The sequence below is a fragment of the Homo sapiens genome, chromosome 7 (genome assembly GCF_000001405.40).
Source record: "Homo sapiens chromosome 7, GRCh38.p14 Primary Assembly".
Classification (NCBI taxonomy): Eukaryota; Metazoa; Chordata; class Mammalia; order Primates; family Hominidae; genus Homo; species Homo sapiens.
In genome coordinates, this window is record NC_000007.14 from 65,662,777 (window position 1) to 65,688,359 (window position 25,583).

The 25,583-nt window shown below is 40.0% G+C and overlaps 1 long non-coding RNA gene and 1 pseudogene across 2 annotated transcripts in view; one reads left to right on the forward strand and one right to left on the reverse strand.

The window, feature by feature from the left end:
* The window catches only part of LINC03006 (long intergenic non-protein coding RNA 3006), a 123,801-nt gene that overhangs the window by 15,767 nt on the left and 82,451 nt on the right, over nucleotides 1-25,583 (reverse strand). The window contains exon 4 of the long non-coding RNA NR_038378.4: nucleotides 8,375-8,463. This is a non-coding gene — a long non-coding RNA (long intergenic non-protein coding RNA 3006). The remainder of the gene's footprint in view (nucleotides 1-8,374; nucleotides 8,464-25,583) is intronic.
* Nucleotides 1-25,583, forward strand: part of INTS4P2 (integrator complex subunit 4 pseudogene 2) — a 70,835-nt pseudogene that overhangs the window by 14,923 nt on the left and 30,329 nt on the right. Inside the window, exons 3-5 of the transcript NR_027392.2 lie at nucleotides 11,609-11,680; nucleotides 14,033-14,207; nucleotides 22,826-23,031. The product of NR_027392.2 is annotated as an integrator complex subunit 4 pseudogene 2 (transcript). The remainder of the gene's footprint in view (nucleotides 1-11,608; nucleotides 11,681-14,032; nucleotides 14,208-22,825; nucleotides 23,032-25,583) is intronic.

Genomic DNA, 25,583 nt, shown 5'->3' on the forward strand with positions numbered 1-25,583 from the left:
TCCTTTCATTTGGCATTTACAGAGGATCTACAACGAACTCTAGGTGGGAGTGGGGAAGAGAAAGATGTTTTAGAGGAGTAAATTAATGATATATCTTTACCTGAATAGGCAGTTTTAAAAAGTAATCCTTAAAGTAAGAATCATTCAAAATTTTCAATTTTGTACTCTATAGGATCTGAAATTTATTTGCATAAAGTTGTATGTATAACATATGGTACATTGAAAGGATTTCTACTTGAATGACTCTAACTTGAGTCACATGCCTTGTGTTATAATTCCATGTTAAATCCAAACAGCTTCAAATTATATAAGTAATTATGTTTGTATTCAGAAATAATAATCATTCTTACCTTGCTGATAATAATAATTACTACTATGTATAGAGTTCCTGGCCTACTAAGTGAGGCATTTTTAGTCATACATACACACATAAATACACACATATTCACACATAAATATTAACCCACTTCTTTATATACAAGCACACATGCCTAACTCATTTGCATACTTTTGCAAGTAACTTTTAATCTTTTTAAACTCTCTGAGGTAAATGTATTACTTATAAATAGCAAAATTAAAATTTAGGAATGTGGTATAATTTTTCTGAGACCGCACAGATAGTAAATGATAGATGAGGACTTCAAACTTCATAATCTAAAGCCCATGTATAATCCTTTCCTGGTGAGTATCCAGTTACACATTGGGATTGGCCAGTTAAGGCCCTGCTGGTTTATTAGTATCTCTGTGCAAGCTAAGAGGTAAAGCTGCCCTACTCCAGCTCTCCAGTAGATAAACCTGGGATCAAGTGATTTGTGTATAATCTTTCATTAAAAATTAATTAATTTTTAAAAATTGACACATTGGTTGAACTAGTTTACAGTCCCACCAACAGTGTAAAAGTGTTCCTATTTCTCCACATCCTCTCCAGCACCTGTTGTTTCCTGACTTTTTAATGATCACCATTCTAACTGGTGTGAGATGGTATCTCATTATGGTTTTGATTTGCATTTCTCTGATGGCCAGTGATGAATGAGCATTTTTTCCTGTGTCTTTTGGCTGCATAAATGTCTTCTTTTGAGAAGTGTCTGTTCATATCCTTCACCCACTTTTTCATGGGGCTGTTTGTTTTCTTCTTGTAGATTTGTTTGAGTTCATTGTAGATTCTGGATATTAGCCCTTTGTCAGATGAGTAGATTGCAACAATTTTCTCCCATTCTGTAGGTTGCCTGTTCACTCTGATGGTAGTTTCTTTTGCTGTGCAGAAGCTCTTTAGTTTAATTAGATCCCATTTGTCAATTTTGGCTTTTGTTGCCATTGCTTTTGGTGTTTTAGACATGAAGTCCTTGCCCATGCCTGGGTCCTGAATGGTATTGCCTAGGTTTTCTTCTAGGGTTTTTATGGTTTTAGTTCTAACATGTAAGTCTTTCATCCATCTTGAATTAATTTTTGTCTAAGGTGTAAGGAAGGGATCCAGTTTCAGCTTTCTACATATGGCTAGCCAGTTTTCCCGTCACCATTTATTAAATAGGGAATCCTTTCCCCATTTCTTGTTTTTGTCAGATTTGTCAAAGATCAGATGGTTGTAGATATGCGGCATTATTTCTGAGGGCTCTGTTCTGTTCCATTGATCTATATCTCTGTTTTGGTACCTGTGGCGATTCCTCAGGGATCTTGAACTAGAAATACCATTTGACCCAGCAATCCCATTACTGGGTATATACCCAAAGGATTATAAATCACGCTGCTATAAAGACACAAGCACACGTATGTTTATTGTGGCACTATTCACAATAGCAAAGACTTGGAACCAAGCCAAATGTCCAACAATGACAGACTGGATCAAGAAAATGTGGCACATATACACCATAGAATACTATGCAGCCATAAAAAAGGATGAGTTCATTTCCTTTGTAGGGACATGGATGAAGCTGGAAACCATCATTCTCAGCAAACTATCGCAAGGACAAAAAACCAAACACCGCATATTCTCGCTCATAGGTGGGAATTGAACAATGAGAACACATGGACACAGGAGGGGGAACATCACACACCAGCGCCTGTTGTGGGGTGGGGGGAGGGGGAAGGTATAGCACTAGGAGATATACCTAATGTTAAATGACGAGTTGATGGGTGCAGCACACCAACATGGCATATGTATACATATGTAACTAACCTGCACATTGTGCACATGTACCCTAAAACTTAAAGTATAATAAAACAAACAAACAAAAATTGACACATTGTATATATGGGGCACAAGTTGATGTTTTGATACACATCTATGTTGAATATTAATCCAATCAGGATAGTTAGTATAGTTATCACATCATATATTTATCATTTCTTTGTCATGAACTTTCAACAGCCTCTCTTACAGCTATAATATTGTATATTTTGTAATATACAATATTTTCCTGTTAATCATAGTCACCTTTATGTGCAGTTGAACACCAGAATTTATTTCTCTTAATTGTGACTTTGTATCTGTTGTCCAGTCTCTTCCCATTCTCTCCTACTCCCTCCCCTCCCCAGTGTCTGCTAACCACTGTTATACTCTCTGCCTCTATGATATCAATTTTTTTCTGAATACTTTAAGTTCTGGGATACATGTGCAGAACGTGCAGGTTTGTGACATAGGTATACATGTGCCATGGTAGTTTGCTGCACCCGTCTACCTATCATCTACATTAGGTATTTCTCCTAATGCTGTCCCTCTCCGAGCCCCCCACCCTCTGACAGTCCCTGGTGTGTGATGTTTCCCTCCTTGTGTCCATGTGTTCACATTGTTCAACTCTCACTTATAAGTGAGAACATATGGTATTTGGCTTTCTGTTCTTGTGTTAGTTTGCTGAGAGTGATGGTTTCCAGCTTCATCCATGTCCCTGCACAGAACATGAACTCATCCTTTTTTATGGCTGCATGGTATTCCATGCTGTATATGCGCCACATTTTCTTTGTCCAGTCTATCATTGATGGGCCTTTGGGTTGGTTCCAAGTCTTTGCTGTTGTGAACAGTGCTGCAATAAACATACGTGTGCATGTGTTTTTATAGTAGAATGATTTATAATCCTTTGGGTATATACCCAGTAATGGGATTCCTGGGTCAAATGGTATTTCTGGTTCTAGATCCTTGAGGAATCGCCATGCTGTCTTCCACAATGGCTGAACTAATTTACACTCCCACCAACAGTGTAAAAGTGTTCCTATTTCTCCACATCCTCTCCAGCACCTGTGGTTTTCTGTCTTTTTAATGATTGCCATTCTAACTGGTGTGAGATGGTATCTCATTGTGGTTTTGATTTGCATTTCTCTAATGACCAGTGATGATGAGCTTTCTTTCATATGTTTGTCGGTCGCATAAATGTCTTCTTTTAAGAAGTGTCTGTTCATATCCTTCACCCACTTTTTGATGGGGTTTTGTTGTTTTTTTTTTTTTTGTAAATTTGTTTAAGTTCTTTTTAGATTCTGGATATTAGCTCTTTGTCAGATGGATAGATTGCAAAAACTTTCTCCCATTCTGTAGGTTGCCTGTTCACTCTGATGATAGTTTCTTTTGCTGTGCAGAAGCTCTTTAGTTTAATTAGAACCTATTTCTCAATTTTGGCTTCGTTGCCATTGCTTTTGGTGTTTTAGTCATGAAGTCTTTGCCCATGCCTATGTCCTGAATGGTATTGCCTAGGTTTTCTTCTAGGGTTTTTATGGTTTTAGGTCTTATGTTTAAGTCTTAGATCATGCAGTATTTGTCTTTCCATGTCTGGCTTATTTCACTTTACATGATGTCCTCCAGGTTAATCGATGTGGCAAATTACAAGATTTTATTCTTTTTTTATTTTCTTTAAGTCAGGGTCTTGCTCTGTTGCCTAGGCTGGAGTGCGGTTCCACGATTGCACAGTCATAGCTCACAGCAACCTCAAACTCCTGGGGACTCCAGCCTGGACAACAGCGAAACTGTCCCTAAAAAAAATTAAAAACCAGATTGTTCTTCTTTTTTGATGTAGCCATTTATTGCTGTATACTTATCTCTTAGAACTGCTTTTGTTGCATACCATAGGTTTTGGTATATGTTTTGATTCTTGCTTGTGAAGCGTGTTTCTTCTAGGCAATGTATACTTAGATTTTGTGTTTTAATCTATTCAACCAATGTATACCTTTTTTTTCTTTCTTTCTTTGAGACAGGGTGTCTCTCTGTTGCCCAGGCTGTAGTGTACCTTTTAATTGAAGAACTTAATCCATTTATATTCAAGATTTTTTTCTACTTCTTCTTCTTCTTCTTCTTTTTTTTTTTTTTTTGTTTCTTTGAGACAGGGTCTCACTCCGTCACCTAGGCTGGAATGCACTGGTGTGATCTCAACTCACTGCAACCTTCACCTCCTGGGTTCAAGTGATTCTCGTGCCCCAGCCTCCCCAGTACCGGGATTACAGGCATGTGCCACCATGCCCAACTAATTTTTTTGCATTTTTATTAGAGACGGGTTTTGCCATGTCGGCCATGCTGGTCTCAAACTCCTGGCCTCAAGTGATTCGCTTGCCTTGGCCTCCCAAGGTGCTGGGATTACAGGCATGAGCCACCGTGTCCAGCTATATTCAGGATTGTTATTGATAGATAAGGTCTTATTCCTGCCATTTTGTTAATTACTTTTTGGTGGTTTTGGAGATCCTTTGTTCTTGTCTTCCTTTCTTGTTGTTTACCTCTGATTTAGTGGTTTTCTGTGGGGCCAAGCTTTGTTTTCATTCTCTTTCTTGTTTGTGTATCTGCTGTAACTTTTTTCTACATAGAGTCTTCAGTTAGGCTGGTGTGGTGGCTCTTGCCTATTATCCCAGCACTTTGGGAGGCTGAGGCAGGCAGATCGCTTGAGCTCATGAGTTTGAGACCAGCCTGGGCAACATAGTGAGACCTCGTTTCTACTAAATAAAGAAAAAAGAAATCAGCCGGGCATGGTGGCACACACCTGTAGTCTCAGCTACCCAGGAGGCTGAGGTGGGAGGACCACTTGAGCCTGGAAGATTGAGGCTGCAGTGAGCCATGATCAGGCCACTATGCTCTAGCGTGGGCATCAGAGTAAGACTGTCTCAAAGGGGAAAAAAAAAGTCTTGCAGTTACAATAGAATGTTTTAAGCTGATAGCAACTCAACTTTGGTTACATAAAAGGACCCTAGGTTTTTTCCCTCCCCCTTCAATTTATATTTTTGTTGCCTTAATTTTCTTCTTCATCTGTTATGTGTTCCTTAGCTACTATTTGTAGCTGTTGTAGTTTTTGACCATTTTAAATTTAACCTTCATACTAGCAGATTGAATATTTTATATGACATATTGTATCACTGGGGTTTGATCTGTTTGATTTATGAGTTTACCTTTACTGGTGAGTTTTATACTTTTGTGTGTTGTTATGATAGTGATTATTGTCCTTTTGTTTCTAGTTGTAGCATTCAATACCTTGAATATATTAATTCTATCCCATTCTCTGCTGGTCTACAAGGTTTCTACTGAGAAATCTATTGATAGTAATGGAGATTCTCTTGACAATTTTCTCTTGCAGCTTTGAAAGTCTTACTCTTTGACTTTCGATAGTTTGATTATAATGCACCTTGGAGAGGATCTTTTTGGGTTGAATGTAATTGCGAACCTTTGAACTTCCTGAATCTGGATGTCCGTATTTCTCCCACTACTTGGCAAGTTTTCAGCTATCATTTCATCAAATAGGTTTTCTGCGCCTTTCTCTATCTCTTCTCCATCAGGCAATCTTCAATGCAAGTATTTGTTTGCCTATTGATGTCCCATATGTTCCAAGGCTTTCTTTTTTATTCTTATTTGTTTTTTTTTCCCTCTTAATGGGTTATTTCAAAAGACCTGTCTTCAAGGTCAGAAATTCTTTCTTCTGCTTGATCCTAGTCTATTGTTGAAGCTCTCAATTGTATACTATTTTTATTTTTTTCATTGAATTCTTCAGTTCCAAGATTTCTGTTTGGTTCTTTTTTATGATATTGATTTCTGTTGAATTGCTCATTCGGATCATGAATTGTTTTCCTGATTTCATTTAATTGTTTGTCTGTATTCTCTTGTATCTTACTGAGTTTCCTTTAGATCACTATTTTGAATTCCTTTTCAGGCATTTTGTAAGTGTCCTTTTCTTTGGGGTCTGTCATTGGAGACTTTTTTCCTTTTTTTTTTTTTGAGACAGGGTCTTGCTCTGTCACCCAGGCTGAAGGGCAGTGGCATGATCTCAGCTCATTGCAACCTTCTCCTCCTGGGTTTAAGTGATCCTCCCACCTCAGCCTGCTGAGTAGCTAGGACTACAGGCGCATGCCACCACACCCGACTAATTTTTTTATATTTTGTAGAGACGGGTTTTGCCATGTTGCCCAGAATGGTCTTGAACTCCTGAGCTCATGCTATCTGGCTGTCTTGGCCTCCCAAAGTGCTGGGATTACAGATGTGAGCCACTGCGCCCAGCCAGGAGACTTAACCGTATTCCTTTGAGGGTGTCATGTTTCCTTGATTTTCATTTATCGTGTGCAAGATACTGGATGTTGATATGTGTGCATTTAGTAGCGTAGTTGCTCTTTTCAATTTTATTGAGTAGCTAGTATATAGTAACAGTCTTTTTCTGTAGATGGTTTTAGGGTATTAGCTGGGTATGGTGTGTTGCCTTTGGTTCTGGGTGGACTCAATGGGTGGTGTAATAATCCTTGTCAGCTTCAGCTGTAATCTTCAGCTATAATCCTAGTCATTGATGTTTGCAATTGCCTCAGTTGCCTAGGCTGTGGGAGTTTGTGATGGCAATGCTATAAGATGAGGGTACCGAGCTGATTTTTGGCCAAGACATGTACAGGCTAAAATGGCTGCCAGGCTGTCTATCTGGTTTTCCAGGGAGGCGGTAGTTACTGCTGTGGTGGCTGTCGTGCTGGGCTCAGGCCTTTGCTGCAGCGGCCTGCTGGGCAGCTCTGTGGCTACGTAGGGAGATGGGGCTACTGCCTGGTTGGCTGTTGCTTTGGGCTAGGCTCAAATGCTTTTGTGCAGTGGGGCTGGGCAGTTTGGCAGCAGTCTATGGTAGGGGGCCAGGGCTACCACAGGACCAGTTGGACTGTGTGCTGTGGGACTGTGGGACTCTATTGTGGCCTGTTTTAGGGGACAGGACCACTGAATTGCCAGCTATCAGGCAGGGCGTGGGCAGGTGGTTCTGTGATGGGTTGTGAGGAAGTAGGGCTGCCGCAGGATTGGCTTTTTGGCTGAGTACTGGCGCATGCATACTTGGCAGCCCAGATGGTTGTATGGAACAGGGGTGTTGGGTAAAGCGCTGCCAGCTATCTATTTGATGGCTTCCTTGCTGTGCAGGTCTGCCTGTTTTCTGGGTGGTTGGTAGCGCTGTGTGGGGTCTGATGCTGAAATCATCGTCACTCTGTTTGACCTAGACTCTATGTGGATGGGGTTATGGTGCTGCAGGCCATCGTGTGATCACGGTAGAATGATGGCTGGTTCTCAGGGATGAAGAGAGTCAGTTGCTACTGGTCCCCAGGGCAGGATGCACACTAGTAGTGAGTCTAGCTTCAACTTGGTGCCATGCTACAGCAGCTTAGGACAAGGTGGGCTCCCACTCTGAGGCAATACAGCTGAATGATCTCTTGGCTACTCTCCAGACTGGATTTGTGGCCACTGAGGACTTAAGGACTGTCCTTTATCAAGAATTGCTGGTGCCTGTGGCAGCAGTGGGGACCACTGATAGGTATCTCCAGCTTACTCTTTCCCTGTAAGAAGTTCCTCTGATTTTAAGCTGATTTTGGCAAGGGAGACAATGTGGCAGGTAGGAAGCCTCACCCTGTGGTGCTATCCTGAGGCTTCCATGTTCCACAGGGATTTTGCCCTTTCTCTGGTGCTCTGCAGCATATATCTACAGTCATTTTAGTTGAAATATAGTTATTTGTTATTTTGGTCTCTTTTTGTTGTGGGTGATGTGTGCCAGGTAACTCTGGTGAGCCATTTTTTTTAAACAAATCTGCATACAGATTGAGTATCCCCTATCCAAAATGCTTGAGACCAGAAGTGTTTTGGATTTTGTTTTGTTTTGTTTTGTTTTTGGATTTTGGAATATTTTATTTGTATTAGACTTACTTGTTGGGCATCCCAAATCTGAAATATGCTCCAAAATCCAAAATCTGAAGTGCTCCAGTGAACATTTCCTTTGAGCATCATGTTGGTACTCAAAAAGTTTTGGATTTTGGAGCATTTTGGATTTCAGATTTTTGGAATTGGGATGTTCAACCTGTATAATCTTTAGATCACCTGTTCAGCAAATCGACAAACACCGAGGACAGTTTCTGTCTGCAACGAAGTTGACAGTCAGGTAGCCAGGGATAGCTAATCAGTGAATAACAATACCTGGTACTGGTAGGAAAGAGCACCAACCACAACCACAGAAGCCTTCTTGGAGGAGCTGATCTCTGAACTGAGTTTTGAAGGATGAGTAACTAGGTAGCAATGCAGAGAAAGAGAAAATATGAGCAGGGATATAAAAGCAGTACATTATCATGCATAGCAATATACTAAGCTGCAATATCATACTAAACTACAAGCAGTCTAGTGCTTTCTAGTTGGGGGGTAATGTTCAATATAGGGGATCTGTAATGAGGTAAGTTGGAGAGGAAAACAGAAGCCAGGTTCTGCAACAACTTAGCTTTGTAGCCTCGAGTCTATCTTGCTTAAAAAGTGAATAGTTTCCAATCCCTTTGGCTTATAGCGTATGAAAAATTTTCTGATATGTGTTATATCAGAAAATTCAAAACCATGTAAAAGAGGTTAGCTTTTACTTATTTATAACTGCCCTCTTTGTGGGGCAAAGAAACTTGAGGTCCCAGTAAGCAGATTCATGGGACTATTTAGAATACAATCACTACTTTTATAAGCCTTAAGAAGTCATTGACCTTGAAAATTACAACATTTTCAGACTGTTAGGTTATAGACTTTTATGCCTGTAAGTCTGCCCATGACTGGTCTTTCCCAGGGTAAATGCAGATATTCCTAGTTAGTGGCAGTTTTATGTCTGATGTACTTATCACCCAGTTGCATAGACTTATGTTATTTATACCAGTTGAGCAGTTTTTGCTCTTCAAGCAGGTGTGATAATTGTTAAATATCTTGTATCTAAATTTCACATACATTTAATAAGGCTCTCAAGTGAAATGGTTTTCTCAGTGTTAAGTAAGGTTTTCATAGCATTAACTACCTAAATTTAGGTTGTTAAGTAGTGCTAGTAGTACAGTTGGAGAGATTCCATCTTAATCTAAACATATTTGTCTTGGTTAAAGTATACCAGAATGTAGCTTTTTTTCTCATTGGTGAGGTGCACTTTATAATGAACTCATTATCTTTTTGGTCCAAATCTGTTTCTCTATGTTTTCGTAAGTGATACTATCATCTGCTAAGTCATGAACCAGAGGAATTTAGGAATAGTTTTTCTATGTCTTACATCCATTGAGTCACAACTCATATCAGTTCTTCCTTCTTGACATCCCCTAAATCCATCCCTTCTCCATTTCCACTGGTCCTGCAGTAATAGACATCTCACCATTTTTCAAGTGGATTACTATGCTATAGGACTCTGTGTCTGTGGACTTAAAATGGAAAGCTTCACCTATTCTTAGGTGACATTGAAAATTTATTTCAAGTAATGATATTTAATTTTGGGGGGCACAAATTTGCATAGTACTCCCTCTGTGCTGCTGTGTTGGTTGAGCGTGCAGCTGAGGGCATTGGAGGAGGGCACTGGGAATTATGGATGAAGCAACTTACTGTGAAGTCATGAAAACTTTTATTCTAGTAGAAAAAAGCCAACAGCTAATGCTGGTGGTAAAAGTAGAGAGAGATTTAGGAGGTCTTAAGCGTTTATAGTTCTTATTTATAAAATTGTTGTTGGGATTTAAAAAATGGATGTTAGATATGACATTGACTCAGATCTGTGTAACAAAAGAAAAAGTGGTTTTGAAACTACTTTAGTCAAAATAGTACAGCAGTTGTTTTTGTGGAATCATAGGAAAGGTGTTAACTTGAGTAAGGACATTCCCCAGGAACATGTAATTTTCTATGAAAAATTTGGTTAGAGAAAAGATCTGAGCCTGTATAAGCATTTCCGCATTTATTAACTTAGGAATTAGAGAAGATCTCAGATAAATTTCTTAACGTCTAGGACCTGCTCCAACAGCCTCTGAAACTAGTCTTTTTGCTTTCATTTTGATTCCTTATGGTCCATTAGTCATACTGTTGCAAGATGGGCTTTATGAAATATAAATCTATGTTCTCCCTTACTTAAAATGAGTAAGTTGCCTAATCTCAGCCTCGTTTGTCATCTAGAAAATGGGGATAAGAGGTATATGGGATTATTGGGAAGAATAAATTGGAAAAATATAAGTAAAATATTTTATACATTGTTAAGCTCATTAGATGTTTAACAGGGATTATGTAATAATTATTTATAAGGCAAACCCCTTACTATGGCAAATAAGGCTCTTTATTATCCTATCTCTACTGCCTCATTTTCAGGAGCCCTATCTTACGTTCCATTCGTAAAACCACTTAATATTTCCCACTTGGCATTTGCACTGTGATTTTCATTTCTCCAAGTATACCTCTCCCTGCCTGTACCTTAATACTGCTTGTTCTCTCCATTCCCGTGTCATCATTCATAGATGTGTATTACAGCATTGCATACCTTGTCAGTTTCCCTTACTAGTCTGTGAGATTGTTGAGTGTACAGCTGTTGTCTTTTTATTTTTGTATTCTTGTTCCTGGTAACTGTAGACATATAATTGAATGGTTGCTAAATATTTGTTTAATTGAATGCATGAATGAATGAACAGATGAATGGAAAGAAGAATGAAAAGGAGTGGAGAGTAGTCGTTAAGGGAAAGGATTTTGGAGGCTGGATTTATCTCCTAGCTCTGGAATTTATTCTTTGTGACCGTCAATATGTTATTTAATCTTTTTGTGTCTTTTCTCCATATATAAAATGGGACTAATATAGTATTTACTTCTCAGGGTTATAGTGAGGATTTAAATGAGTTAATATACGTCTAAAGCCCTTAGAATAGTACATGACACATAGTGGCCGGGCGTGGTGGCTCACGCCTGTAATCCCAGCACTTTGGGAGGCCGAGGCAGGCAGATCACCTGAGGTCAGGAGTTTGAGACTAGCCTGCTCAACGTGGTGAAACCCCGTCTCTACTAAAAATACAAAAAAATTAGCTGGACATGGTGGCGGGCACCTGTAATCCAGCTACTCAGGAGGCTGAGGCAGGAGAATTGCTTGAACCTGGGTGGCGGAGGTTGCAATGAGCTGAGATCATGCCACTGCACTCCAGCCTGGGTGACAAGAGCAAAACTCCATCTCAGGAAGAAAAAAAAAAAGAAAGAAAGCACAGTAGGTGACACATAGTAAGCTCTATTTAGGTGTTAGCTGCTGCTAATATTTTTATTTTCCTGCTGATTCAGAACCCATAGCATCTTTACTGTCATGAATAATATTATCTTTATGCACTTAAATTGGCTATAGACTGAATTTTAAGATAATGTTCAAATCATAAAAGTTGTTTTATATGCTCTGGATTTTTCTTTTTATAGGGCTCTATGGAGCAAGTCAGTTCTCATTTCTTGGAGCAGACCCTTGACAAGAAGCTGATGTCAGATCTGAGGGTACCTTTTATTCTTCGTTGTTTAAACTGGGTTTCTGTAACCAATGTAGGGGGGCAGTATTGTGAGTTGTGTTGATTTAACTTAGCAGCATTTGTTAAATTAACGTATGAGAACTGTATTACATTTTAATTTAAAATCTTAGTAAATTGAAGCAAATAACAAGTGACTTCATTAAATTTCGTATTATTGTAATGAAATACTTTGCACAGGTTATGCTTTACAAAAAAGAGGCAAGATTAATTTTCTAAGCCAGGTGCAGTGGCTCACACCTGTAATCCCAGCACTTTGGGAGGCTGAGGCAGGTAGATCACTTGCGGCCGGGAGTTTGAGACCAGTCCGGCCAACATGATGAACTCCGTCTCAACTAAAAAACAAAAATTAGCTAGGTGTGGTGGCATGTGCCTGTAGTCCCAGCTACTTGGGTGACTGAGGCAGAGAATCACTTGAACCCTGGAGACCAGAGGTTGCAGTGAGCCGAGATCGCACCACTGCACTCCAGCCTAGGCAACAGAGTGGGACTCTGTCTCAAAAAACAAAACCCAAAAAACAACAACAAAAAACCCCCAGAAAACCCCAAAAGATTAATTTTCTATTTGTTAGGAACTACAAAGGCCCATTCTCATTTTGTGAGATGGTATGACATTTTAGGACTCCTTTTCAGCAGCAGTTACCATGGAAGACTGAGTAAAGCCTTTCTCCAAACAGTAACAAAATACCCCCCACCCCACGCCATTTTTTCTTCTTTTTTTTTTGAAACTGGGTCTCACTCTGTTGCCCAGGCTGGAACGCAGTGGCACAATCATTACTCAATGCAACTTTGATCTCCTGGGCTCAAGCATTCCTCCCACCTCACCCTCCTGAGTAGCTGGGACTACAAGCATACCTCACCATGCCCAGCTAATTTTTTTTATCTTTAGTAGAGATGAGGTCTTGCTCTGTTCCTCATGTTGGTCTTGAACTCCTGAGCCCAGGCAGTCTTCTTGCCTCTGCCTCCCAAAGTGCTGGGATTACAGATGTGAGCCATTGTGCCCGGCCCCAAATGCCTCTTATGAAATGCCCTTAAGCTTTGATTGTGATGGTTCACTAACGTGGTTTGCAGAACCAAATTTGAGTCTGAGAAAATAATATGTACATTCATTGTTAGTACCTCAATTTTGAAATTATAAAAGTGATATTATAGAGTTGTAGAATTTTTGATAAGGGAAAGGAAAACAATTTACCCATATGCCTGCTACCCTAATATAATGACTTTGGTCATTTTGGTATATGTCTCTCAGCTCTTTTTCTGGTGCGTGGTTTTTTTGTTTGTTTGTTTGTTTTGTTTTGTTTTGTTTTGTTTTGTTTGAGACAGGGTCTCGCTCTGTCGCCCAGGCTGGAGTGCAGTGGTGCGATCTTGGTTCACTGCAACCTCTGCCTCCTGGGCTCAAGTGATCCTCTCACGTCGGCCTCCTGAGTAGCTGGGACTACAGGTGTGTACCACCACACCCGGCTAATTTTTTGTAGTTTTTTAGAGATGGGGTTTCATGAGAGGCTGATGTATAAAGCAGAGTGCCAGGTCATTCATTTGTGATGAGAACCATAACTGTCAAGTGGACTGGATACACTAACCGGTATATTCCACCTTAGGCAATCTCTGTGTAAAGTGAGTTTACTAGATTATTTAGTGACTGTACTGTAGCTGAAATAGAACGCAATGTTGCCAAATAGAAAAATACTTTTACTGGGACTGAAGATAATTTTTTTTTTTGAGGCAGAGTCTCACTCTGTCGCCAGGCTGGAGTGCAGTGGCATGATCTCGGCTCACTGCAACCTCCACCTCCTGAGTAGCTGGGACTACAGGCACGTGCCACCACGCCCAGCTAATTTTTGTACTTAGAGTAAAGATGGAGTTTCAACATGTTGGCCAGGATGGTCTCAATCTCCTGACCTCATGATCAGCCTGCCTTGGCCTCCCAAAGTGCTGGGATTACAGGTGTGAGCCACCTGCTCCCTGCCCGATAATTGTTGTATTGTCTACCCAAGATGGTTTTTTGGAGGGGCACTGCCATTATTTGCCTCTCTGGCTCTCTCTTTTCCTATGTTGCTGCCACAGCAAACATAACCAACTTTCTTAACACATTCTTCAGCTATCTTTATCCTCTTTAATTAGGTACTTTCAGCTATTATAGACCAGCAAGGCTTTGGTTTCATTTTAAGTTGAATTTGCATTTCTCTTGTATGAACTACTGATAATTTTTACAAACGTAACTCTCAAAGAGCAGTTTTATTTTCTGCCTTCCCATGTTCTCAGGGTTCATCTTAGTGTTCCTTCATGAACCTCCTACAATTGGTAATTGTTGTTGTCCTCTGCAGAGGAAACGTACTGCACATGAGCGTGCCAAGGAACTTTACAGTTCAGGGGAGTTTTCCAGTGGCAGAAAGTGGGAAGATGATGCTCCCAAGGAAGAAGTAGATACCGGGGCTGTGAACTTGATTGAGTCAGGAGCTTGTGGAGCTTTTGTTCATGGGTTGGAAGATGAGATGTATGGTAAGTATGACTGTATAATAGCAATAGCACTCTTTAAGTGACTGCTGTGTGTCAGGCATTGTACTGGGTGATACACATGTATCGTTTCATTTAGTCCTCACAGTAACTCTGGGAAGTACTTACTATGCTTTTTATTTTACACACAGAAGAGACTGAGGCCCCAGTAGTATGAGACAATGGTAAAGAGCAAGAGATTTGGGTTCAGTCAATCTATATTTAAATTCCAGCATTTTTATAAAACAGGGATAATAATAACTATCTTTCTGAGTTGTGAGAATTAAATGAGGTTCTGTATACATAAAGCACTTGGCATAATACATGTGCCTATTTATAATAAGCACTTAATAATTGGTAATTAAAATTGATATTAATAAAAATAATAACTTGATATTACTTACCCAGCTAGTAAGAGACAGAGCAAGATTTAAACCTAGGTATGTCTGACTGCCAAACCTTTATATGACTGATGAATATTTTATTTCACCTTCATTTTTGAAAGATATTTTTGGGCCAGGCGTGGTGGCTCACACCTGTAATCCCAGCACTTTGGGAGGCTGAGGCTGGAGGATCACTTGAGGCCAGGAGTTCAAGACCAGCCTGGTTAACATGGTGAAACCCTGGATCTACTAAAAATACAAAAAATAGCTGGTATGGTGGCATGCACCTGTAATCTCAACTGCTAGAGAGGCTCAGACACAAGAATCACTTGAACTCAGGAGGCAGAGGTTGCAGTGAGCTGAGATCGTGCCACAGCACTCCAGCCTGGGCAAGCAACAGAGCAAAACTCTGTCTCAAAAAATAAATAAATAAATAAATAAATATAGAAAGATATTTTTGTGGGAATCCAATTCTAGATTAATAAGTTTTTTTTTTTCCAAGAGACTTTTTTGTTTTTTGAGACAGGGTCTCACTGTGTCACCCAGGCTAGAGTGTAGTGGTGTGATCACAGCTCACTGAAGCCTTGACTTCCTGGACCCAAGCAATCCTCCCACCTCAGCCTCTCGAGTAGCTGGGACCAGAAGCACATGTCACCATGCCCGGCTAATTTTTTAATTTTTTGCAGAGACAGGGCCTCCCTATATTGTCCAAGCCAGTCTTGAACTCCTGGGCTCAAGTGATCCTTTTGCCTTGGCCTCCTAAAGTGTTGAGATTGCGGGCGTGAGCCACTGTGCGTGGCCTCTACCAGTCTTTTAATGATATTGCTCCATAGTTTTCTGTTGAGAAATCTGCTGTCGTTTTTATCTTCCTCTGTATATAATGTGTCTTTTTATCTCAAGCTGCTTTTAAGATTTCTCTTTATCACTGGTTTTAAACAATTTGATTATGATATGCCTAGGTATAGTATAGTTCATGTCATGTTTCTTTTGTTTGGAGTTTGTTGAGCTTCTTGAATCAAATAGTTTTCATCACAGTTGGAAATTTTTTTTTGCTATTATTTCTTTCTCTCTCTTTTTTTTTCGGGGGGTGTGGCGGGGACAGAGTTTTGCCCAGGCTGAAGTGCAGTGGTGTGATCTTGGCTCACTGCAATCTCTGCATCCTGAGTTCAGGCAATTCTCGTGCTTCAGCCTCCCCAGTAGTTGGGACTGCAGGTGCCCGCCACCACTCTCGGCTAATTTCTGTATTTTTAGTAGAGACGGGGTTTTGCCATGTTGCCGAGGCTGGTCTCAAACCCCTGAGCTCAACTTATCTGCGCGCTTCAGCCTCCCAAAGTGCCGGGATTACAGGTGTGAGCCACCATACCCAGCCACTATTATTTTTTTAAATTTCTCTGACTCTACAGGCCCTTTGGCGACTTTCATTACACATGCATTAGGATACTGACATTGTTTTGCAGCTCACTGATGCTCTATTCTTCCTTCCTTCCTTCCTTCCTTCCTTTCTTTCTCCAGTTTTTATTTTCTCTTTGTGTTTGATTTTGGATAGTATCTATTGCTTTGTCTTTGAGTGTTGCAAGATATAATCTGATGTTAATCCCACCCAGTATATTTTTCATCTCGGACATGTAGTTTCTGTCTCTAGAAGTTTGATTAGAATTTGGGTTTTTTCCACCCTGGACCACATAAGGAGACCCTATCTCTACAAAAAATTTAAAATTAGCCAGACATGGTTGTGCATTGCCTTTAGTCCCAGCTACTTGGGAGGCTGAGGCAGGAGGATTGCTTGAGCCCAGGAGTTAGAGGTTGCAAGGAGCCATGATCACACAAGTGCACTCCAGTCTGGGTGACAGAGCAAGACCCTGTCTCAAAAAAAAAGAAGAAAGAGTTTGGGTCTTTTTAGTATCTACCATGTCTTTCTTAACATACTTAATCTTTCCTCTAGCTTTGTCAACAGATAATATGTTTATATTGTCTTACTATCCTTGTTTACTAGGACTATTATTTCTGTGATTCCTAGGTTGGTTTTGATTGATTTTTTTTCTTCCAGTATTATATATTCATCCTGTGTATATTCCATCCTGTGTCTTTTCATGTCTGATAATTTTTAATTGGATGCCAGACATTATAGATTTCACTTTATTGGATACTGAACATTATTTTATTCCTATAAATATTTTTGAGCTTTGTTCTGGGATCCATTTTTTCAGGTCTTATACTTTGTTAGGCAGGATTAGAGTAGCATTTAGCCTACAGCTTACTTTTCTCCACTAGTGAAGCAAAAAACTCTTCTTTTTCACTACTTGAAGCACAAAACCTCTTCTTTTCTTTTTTCTCTCTCTCTTTTTTTTTTTTTTTTTTTGAGACAGGATCTTGCTCTGTTGCCCAGGCTGGAGTGCCAAGGTACAGTCACGGCTCGCTGCAGCCTTGACCTCCTGGGCTCAAACAACCTTCCCACCTCAGCCTCCTGAGTAACTAGGACCACAGGTGGGCACCACCACACCTGGCTAATTTTTGTATTTTTTGTAGAGATGGGTTTTGCCATGTTGCCCAGGCCAGGCTTGAAGTCCTGGCCTCAAGCAATCCGGCCACCTCAGCCTCCCAGAGTTTTAGGATGACAGACATAAGCCACCACACCTGGCTGCAAAATTCTTCTAAGTTAACTGTGGTTTTATAGGCCCTGTGTGACCTCTGGAGATTGTTTCCTCTCATTGTTTTGAGTGGTTCTTTTCCAGGCCTCAGATGGTCTCTGTCGCACAGATCAGAATTCAGCTGAAGACTTGAGGCGACCATCTGCAGATCTCCCAAGCTCTCTGTCTCTCTGTGTAGTTCTCTCCTTTCCAGAAATTTGCTCTATGAACTCTAGCCACATTGGACTTCCCAAACTCCTAGCTCAATCTTCTCAACTCAGGGAGAGAAGACCTAGTGCCTGGAGTCTCTCTAAACGGAATTGTAATCATTGAGATCACCTCATTTATTTCCCATCTCTCAGGGATTGCAGTCCTTTATTGCCAGATGCCCAGTGTCTGGAATGCTGTTGTTTCATATATTTTGTCTCTGTCTCATCCTTGGAGGAAAAAGCCGGTCCTCATTACTCCATCTTGTAATAGACATCCTATAAAGCCCATGTGATTTCCGTATGCTGTCTGTCTCACGTACATCTCAGAATTTCAGTGCTTTGAGATGATTGACTCCAGCCTCTTCATTATCAGCAAGGGTAACAGACCTGGTGAGGTAATGTTGATTGTCCACGTTTTACAGTAAATTTGTGCCAGAGACCTGTGCCAGGTCTTAAAAATGCCTATACAATCATACCTCAGGATAGAACTGCTTCTTAGAAGGGCAAGAATATTATTTTTGAAAGAAAGTTTTTCATCAGTAGATGTAAGAATTGGGTTATCCTATCATTTGTTCTAAAATGTTCCATATGTATAGAAAGTAAATCTACCTCTGCTTTTTGATTCTCTATGAACTTAAAATATGAATTACAATTTAAATAATATTGGATAATAAGGAAGTCCAGTTATTAAAACCTATTTTACTCTAAAATGAGTAACTGAAACCTATTTTGTTTCTATTAGCATTTTTGCTTTGTTGCGTTTCTACAACTGAATTTCATCACTTTTAACATTTATATGATTTAGTTATACAGTTTTCAGTTTGCCATTAAGATTTTTTAAATACTTTTTTTTATACTTTTAAGTTCTGGGGTACATGTGCAGAACGTGCAGGTTTGTTACATAGGTATACATGTGCCATGGTGGTTTGCTGCACCCGTCAACCCGTCATCTACGTTAGGTATTTCTCCTAATGCTATCCCTCCCCCAGCCCCCCACCCCCTAACAGGCCCCAGTGTGTGATGCCCCCCCACCTGCAGTGTCCATGTGTTCTCATTGTTCACCTCCCACTTATGAGTGAGAACATGCGGTGTTTGGTCTTCTGTTCTTGTGCTAGTTTGCTGAGAATGATGGTTTCCAGCTTCATCCATGTCCTTGCAAATAACATGAACTCATCCTTTTTTATGGCTGCGTGGTATTCCATGGTGTATATGTGCCACGTTTTCTTTATCCAGTCTATCACTGATGGGCCTTTGGGTTGGTTCCAAGTCTTTACTATTGTGAATAGTGCTGCAATAAACATATGTGTGCATGTGTTTTTATAGTAGAATGATTTATAAGGCTTTGGGTATATGCCCAGTAATGGGATTGCTGGGTCAAATGGTATTTCTGGTTCTAGATCCTTGAGGAATCGCTACACTGTCTTCCACAATGGCTGAACTAATTTACACTCCCACCAACAGTGTAAAAGTGTTCCTGTTTCTCCACATCTTCTCCAGCATCTGTTGTTTCCTGACTTTTTAATGATCGCCATTCTAACTGGTGTGAGATGGTATCTCACTGTGGTTTTGATTTGCATTTCTCTAATGACCAGTGATGATGAGCTTTTTTTAATATGTTTGTTGGTTGCATAAATGTCTTCTTTTGAGAAGTGTCTGTTCGTATCATTTGCCCACTTTTTGATGGGGTCATGGTTTTTTTCTTTTTTGTGTGTGTGAATTTAAGTTCCTTGTAGATTCTGGATATTAGCTCTTTGTCAGATGGATAGGTTACAAAAATTTTCTCCCATTGTGTAGGTTGCCTGTTCACTCTGATGATAGTTTCTTTTGCTGTGCAGAAGCTCTTTAGTTTAATTAGATCCCAGTTGTCAATTTTGGCTTCGTTGCCGTTGCTTTTGGTGTTTTAGTCATGAAGTCTTTGCCAATGCCCGTGTCCTGAATGGTATTGCCTAGATTTTCTTCTAGGGTTTTTATGGTTTTAGGTCTTACATTTAAGCCTTTAATCCATCTTGAGTTAATTTTTGTATAAAGTATAAGGAAGGGATCCAGTTTCAGTTTTCTGCGTATGGCTAGCCAGTTTTCCTAACACCATTTATTAAATAGAGAATCCTTTCCCTGTTGGTTGTTTTTGTCAGGTTTGTCAAAGATCAGATGGTTGTAGATGTGTGGTGTTATTTCTGAGGGCTCTGTTCTGTTCCATTGGTCTATATATCTGTTTTGGTACCAGTACTATGCTGTTTTGGTTACTGTAGCCTTGTAGTATAGTTTGAAGTCAGGTAGCGTGAGGCCTCCAGCTTTGTTCTTTTTGCTTAGAATTGTCTTGGCTATGTGGGCCCTTTTTTGGTTCCATACTAGTATATATATTTAAGGGGTACATGAGATGTTTTGATACAGGCATGAAATATGAAATAATCACATCATATAGATAGGTATCCATCTCCTCAAGGATTTATCCTTCGTGTTGCAAATGTTATTAAGATGTAATCAAATTAACTTAAGTTTAAAAAGTGAGTATACCATAACCAGGTATCAGGTATGACAGCTTTCTAATTTTATCACATTTATACAATTCTGGGAAAATTTGGGTTTTAGGGGTGCATTGCTGGGAATGAAATGGAGCCTTATTTCGCTGGCTGTTCACTCTAGTGTAGTGCCTCACATACTTCTAGTCTTCTAATTTATCCATCTTCTCTCTCCTTTTTGGGACTTTGTGCATGCAGCTTTTCTTCTAGAAAGGCCTTTTTCTTTCTTTTGGCTTAGCAGCTCTTTTAGTTATTGTTTTTAGGGATCACGTATTACAGAAAGCCACCTCTGATCCCATTGATTGGGCTATATTTCTTCATATGCATTTTCTTACATTCCCTGTGCTTTTCCATGGCAACAGTCATCACTCTGTAATGCAATTAACTGTTCTTATTTGTAAGCCTGGGGGATAGTCTTGCTTTTGTTCATCTTTGTGTCTTTAGTACTAAGTACAAACCTAATAGGTAGCTAAGTCTGGACCCAATTATACATGTGCAGATGCTGACGATCAGTCTTTTTTAAAATATAGTATAGTAGATTCCTTTTCTCTGCTCTGTACCCATGGGGAATCTGTGACATATTATTTATTTATTTTTAATTAACTTTTTTTATAGAGATGGGGTCTCACTATGTTGCCCAGGCTGGTGTTGAACTCCTGGGCTCAAGTGATCCTCCTGCCTTGGCCTCTCAAAGTGCTGGGATTATAGGCGTGACATGCCTGGCCGACGTATCTTCAACGTTCCAAAAAGTTCAGTGGAAAATATCAATTTTCTTGCTTATAGTCTGGCCGTTCAGGCAAAGTAAAATACCACATTTCTTTGCTTCTGCTTGGAACTGTATCAGCTGAGGTCACACTGATTATCTCTTTCTGATCAGAAATTCCTTCCTGATTGCCTTGGTGGACTTGCAAACGTTACATATGAGTCAGTGTGGTGTAATGGTTAAAATTCTAGGAGGAAGAGCCAGCACTTAACATGTTTGGGTTTATCTCTAGCTTGCCTTATAATTAGCAATTTCATGTTTAAATTATATTATTGTGAAATGAAGAAAATTGTTCTCTTCTGATGAAAAGGAGGAATTCATAACTACCAAGAAAAACCTGAATCATCTGTCTTTAATGTAGTAACTCTACTTTTAACATGTCTATAAAACCTTTCTTTATACAAAGAGGAAATTGTGTTTGTGAGTTTTAACCACAACTTTAGGTACTTTTTGTTTTGTTTGTTTTGGAATAGTCCATTTTGTTACAGAAGCATATGGGAATCACTAGAAAAAAACAACCATGTATAGAAGTCTTGTGAGCATTTTCTGTGTCTTACTCATTTCTCATCTTTGTATCCTAGCCCTTAGTACTGCACCTAGCATATAGTACGTGTTCAGGACCCATTTATTAGTGAATGAAGAAAGGGCTTCCTCGGATCAGTGGCTTTATTGTTTACATGTTCTGAGCATGCCAAGGGGTGGAAAACATGCCTCTGTTTTCAGGGTGCTTACAGAACCCAAACCTATACCCTAGGTGATACTTATTGAGCCCTTAAAATATGCCAGGCAGAGTCCCTATGTGCTTTACCTGTATTATCTCATTTAGTCCTAACAACTCTGTAAGGAAATGAGTATTATGTCCATTTACCAGGTGAGAAATTTGAGGTGCCAGGAAGTTGAGTTACTTATTCAAGATCACCCTCCAACTTAGTGGAGGGATCATTCACTACAGTGTGCTCTGAGACCTCTATCATTCCAAGCATGTATCCTTAACCACTATATGATTTTAGCCTACAATCAACAGACCTGAGTATTGGTCCTAGTCCTGCCCTCATTCACTTTGAGGCAAGTTAATCCACGTTGCTGAATCTTACCTGTAAAATTCGAACAATGATATTTAGTCTACTTTAATCTTAATAATAATGATAACATTATTTACTAACTGACTTTTTAAAAAGTACTGTGGTCGGAATACTGAGATAAGTAAGACAATTTAATTTTCAAGAAGTTAATGTAGACAGACATGTAGACAGACTCATCACATATATGTGGAGTCAGATTTAAGCCATAGTCCTTGTGATACTAAAGTCCATGTTCTTAGATCGATGTTAAGGTGGGTGGTATGTGAAACTGTGGGCATAGAGATCTCCCAGGGAGAGTTTATAGAATGAGAGGAGTAGAGAATAGAAGACAGCCTGAAGGAGAATGAATCCATCTTGGACTTTTCCCATGGCTCTTAATTTGATATGAGTTACTTTATATATATATAAAATATGGGGCTTCAGTGTGTTGCTCAGGCCAGCCTTGAACTCCTGAGCTCAAATGATCCTCCCACCTCAGCTTCCTGAGTAGCTGGGACTTTGGTGTATGGCATTGCACCTGGCTGATGTGCAGTTTTTGTTTTTTTGTTTTTGGAGTTTTTTTTTTTTTTGAGACAGGGGCCCAGTCTGTCACCAGGACGGAGTGTAGTGGCACAATCATGGCTCACTGCAGCCTCAAACTCCTGGGCACAAGTGATCTTCCTCCCTCAGCCTCCCAAGTAGATGGGACTATAGGCGTGCGCCACCACACTTGGCTAATTTGTTTTTTGTGTGTTTTGTTTTGAGATAGGGTCTCGTTCTGTCACCAGGCTGGAGTGCAGTGGCACGACCTTGGCTAACTGTAATTTCTGCCTCCCAGGTTCAAGTGATCCTCCCATCTCAGCCTCCCAAGTAGCTGAGAGAACAGGCGCACACTACCACAGCCAGCTAATTTTTTAATATTTTTGGTAGAAACAGAGTTTTACCACATTGCATAGGCGGGCTCAAGTGGTCTGCCTACCTTGGCCTCCCAAAGTGTTGGGATTACAGGCATGAGCCACTGTGCCCAGCCTGATGTGCAATTTCATTTGTTCTTTTTTCTAGAGGTTCGTATTGCTGCTGTGGAGGCCCTCTGCATGTTGGCCCAGTCTTCACCCTCTTTTGCTGAGAAGTGCCTTGATTTCCTAGTTGACATGTTCAACGATGAAATTGAGGAAGTACGTCTGCAGTCCATACATACCATGAGAAAAATCTCTAACAACATCACCCTCCGAGAAGATCAGCTTGACACTGTCCTGGCTGTGCTAGAGGTGAGTGTTCCTAATTTGTTACTCATTTCTTCATCCCTCACCCCCCCCCGCCCGTTAAAATCAGGTATTGGTGACAGAACAGTATATCGGGCAGCACAGTTCTGTTTTCTCACCATATCCCTCCCCTAAGATGGAAGAAATTGACTGTGAAACAGGAAATTTGAATAAGCTTGGTCTTTCTGTGATCAAGAAAGGATAGGATGCCTAGGGAATACATAGTGTCTAACCTGAATTGGCTGAGGTGAGGTTGGGAAGAAGGAGGAAGTGCTGTAGTGGACACTTGAAGGAGGAATAGGACTTAACTGGGCTTTTTTTTTTCCTTCTTCTTTTGAGACAGGGTCTCACTCTGTCACTCAAGCTGAAGTGCATCTTTTTTAAAGGAGAAGTGACACTGGTGGTAGGATGAAAGGGTACCAGACAGAGGGAGCAATGTCTAAAGATGCAGAGATAAGACAGAATATGATATATTCAAGGAACTAAAAAGAGTTTATTATAATGATAGCGTAGAGTTGAAGAGATGGAAGAGTGGAGGAAGTGGCTATAGATAAGGTAGGGGCTAAATAATGAAGAGTTCTTTTCAACCTTTAATTTGATTTTATTCTTGTAGTGAATCATAGGCTGTTATAGCAGCAAGTGCTCTTAGGGATTGATTCATTCTACCCTGAGAATTTTATAGAGAAAAAAATAAGTTGTCTGAGTTAGTGGCTGAACCAAAATGTAAACACAGAGTTGCTTCCCAGGCCGTACAGCTCTAGGTAGTTCTTGTATTATTTTTCTAAAATGTCTGGATTTTAATTGCAACTACTCAAGTTCTTCAGAGTATTCATAAATGGGGTTTGTCCTCTGGTTTCCTTTTTGGGGAAGATGGGGTTCAGATGTGAAAGGGATAGTAATTAGGTGCTTAGTTTTTAGAACACTTGTAACAGATTTCTACTGCATACTTTAAAGAATAGCTGGTGCTTTGGTTTTGAAGGTCCCTACCATTCTCTCAGCTGCTTAGCACTTCTACTAAGATTTTTCCTGAATTATAAATCTTTATAATTTTTTCATGTATTTTTTCCTAAAAATAAGTTTACATTCTATGTGTGGTTCTTCATGGGTGGCCTCATACATAGCCTAGCCACTCCTTTCCTTTTTAGCTTTCTTCTCCACCATTCCTCACCTTGAACTTTATGCTGAAGTCACTTTCCTACACATATGGCTTTTCCTCACAATTTTACCTTCAATGTAATTTCCCCCTCAGTTTGCAAAACTGCCACTTTAACCCAGGAGACGTCCACTTATTCCCACAGCCTATATTAGGTAACATATCCAGGAAGCCTTCCCTAACTGTTACTCCCAGCCCTGGATGGGCTAAATGCCACCACTCTATTCCCATAGCACTCTGTGTATACTGCTCTAGCATTTTTCAGTAATTCTCTGTTTCATAAGACTGTGAGCTCCTCAAGGTGTCTTGGCTTTTCTTTTCTCTTTTGTTTTCCTTTCCTTTCCTTTTTCTTTTCCTTTTTCCTTTCCTTTCCTTTTTTTTTTTTTTTTTTTTGTTTTTTGTTTTTTGTTTGTTTGTTTGTTTGTTTTTTGCTTTTTGAGGCTGAGTCTCGCTCTGTTCCCCAGGCTGGAATGCAGTGGTGCGATCTTGGCTTACTGCAACCTTCACCTCCTGGGTTCAAGCAATTCTCCTGCCTCAGTCTCCTGAGTAGCTGGGATTACAGGCACGCACTACAATACTAATTTTTATATATATTTTTTTAGTAGAGATGATGTTTCACCATATTGGCCAGGCTGGTCTCGAACTCCTGACCTCAAGTGATCCACCCACCTTGGCCTCCCAAAGTGCTGGGATTATGGTGTGAGCCACCATGCCCAGCTGACTCTTCATTTTTTTATTACCAATGTCTTGCAGCAGTGTCTGGCACAATTAGGTGCTCGGCAAGTGTTTGCTGAGTAGCTGAGCTATGTTCCAAGCTATGTTTTGATGTACAGAATTGTTCACAGGTATGCTTATTTGTGAGTACTTATGTATATAACTCACAAAGAATCCTTGCTTTTTAATTCTTTTCAGGAGTTCAGACCCATATAAACTTACAGTAGACTATTCTTCCACCCTGCTGTGCACTGCTCCCTTATATTTTCTGTGTCACTGTGCTTCATTGCTTTGAGCCTTACCTTGCTGACCCTTCCAGGTGGAATTTGCCTTTTTTTTTTTTCCTGCTATGTCAAGATCCTACCCTGCCTAGAAAAACTCACTTCTTTATTCAACAAGCACTGTCTATGTATTAGAAATATAGGGATATCAAAACAGACAGGATCCCTGCTGTCATAAAACTTATATTCTAAAGAGAGGTGGAGTAAACAAACAAAATGATTTCAGATGGTGATAAATGTTTTGCAGAAGATAAACAGTATGATGGAGGAATGGGGAATTTCTCTGTAATTTGAGTGGTTAGTAAAGACTTTCTGAGGAGATGATGTTCAAGTTGAGTCTTGAATGGTAAACAGAAGCTAGCTATGTGAAGACCGGGAGAATAAATTCAGGTAGAGGCAACAGCTAGTGG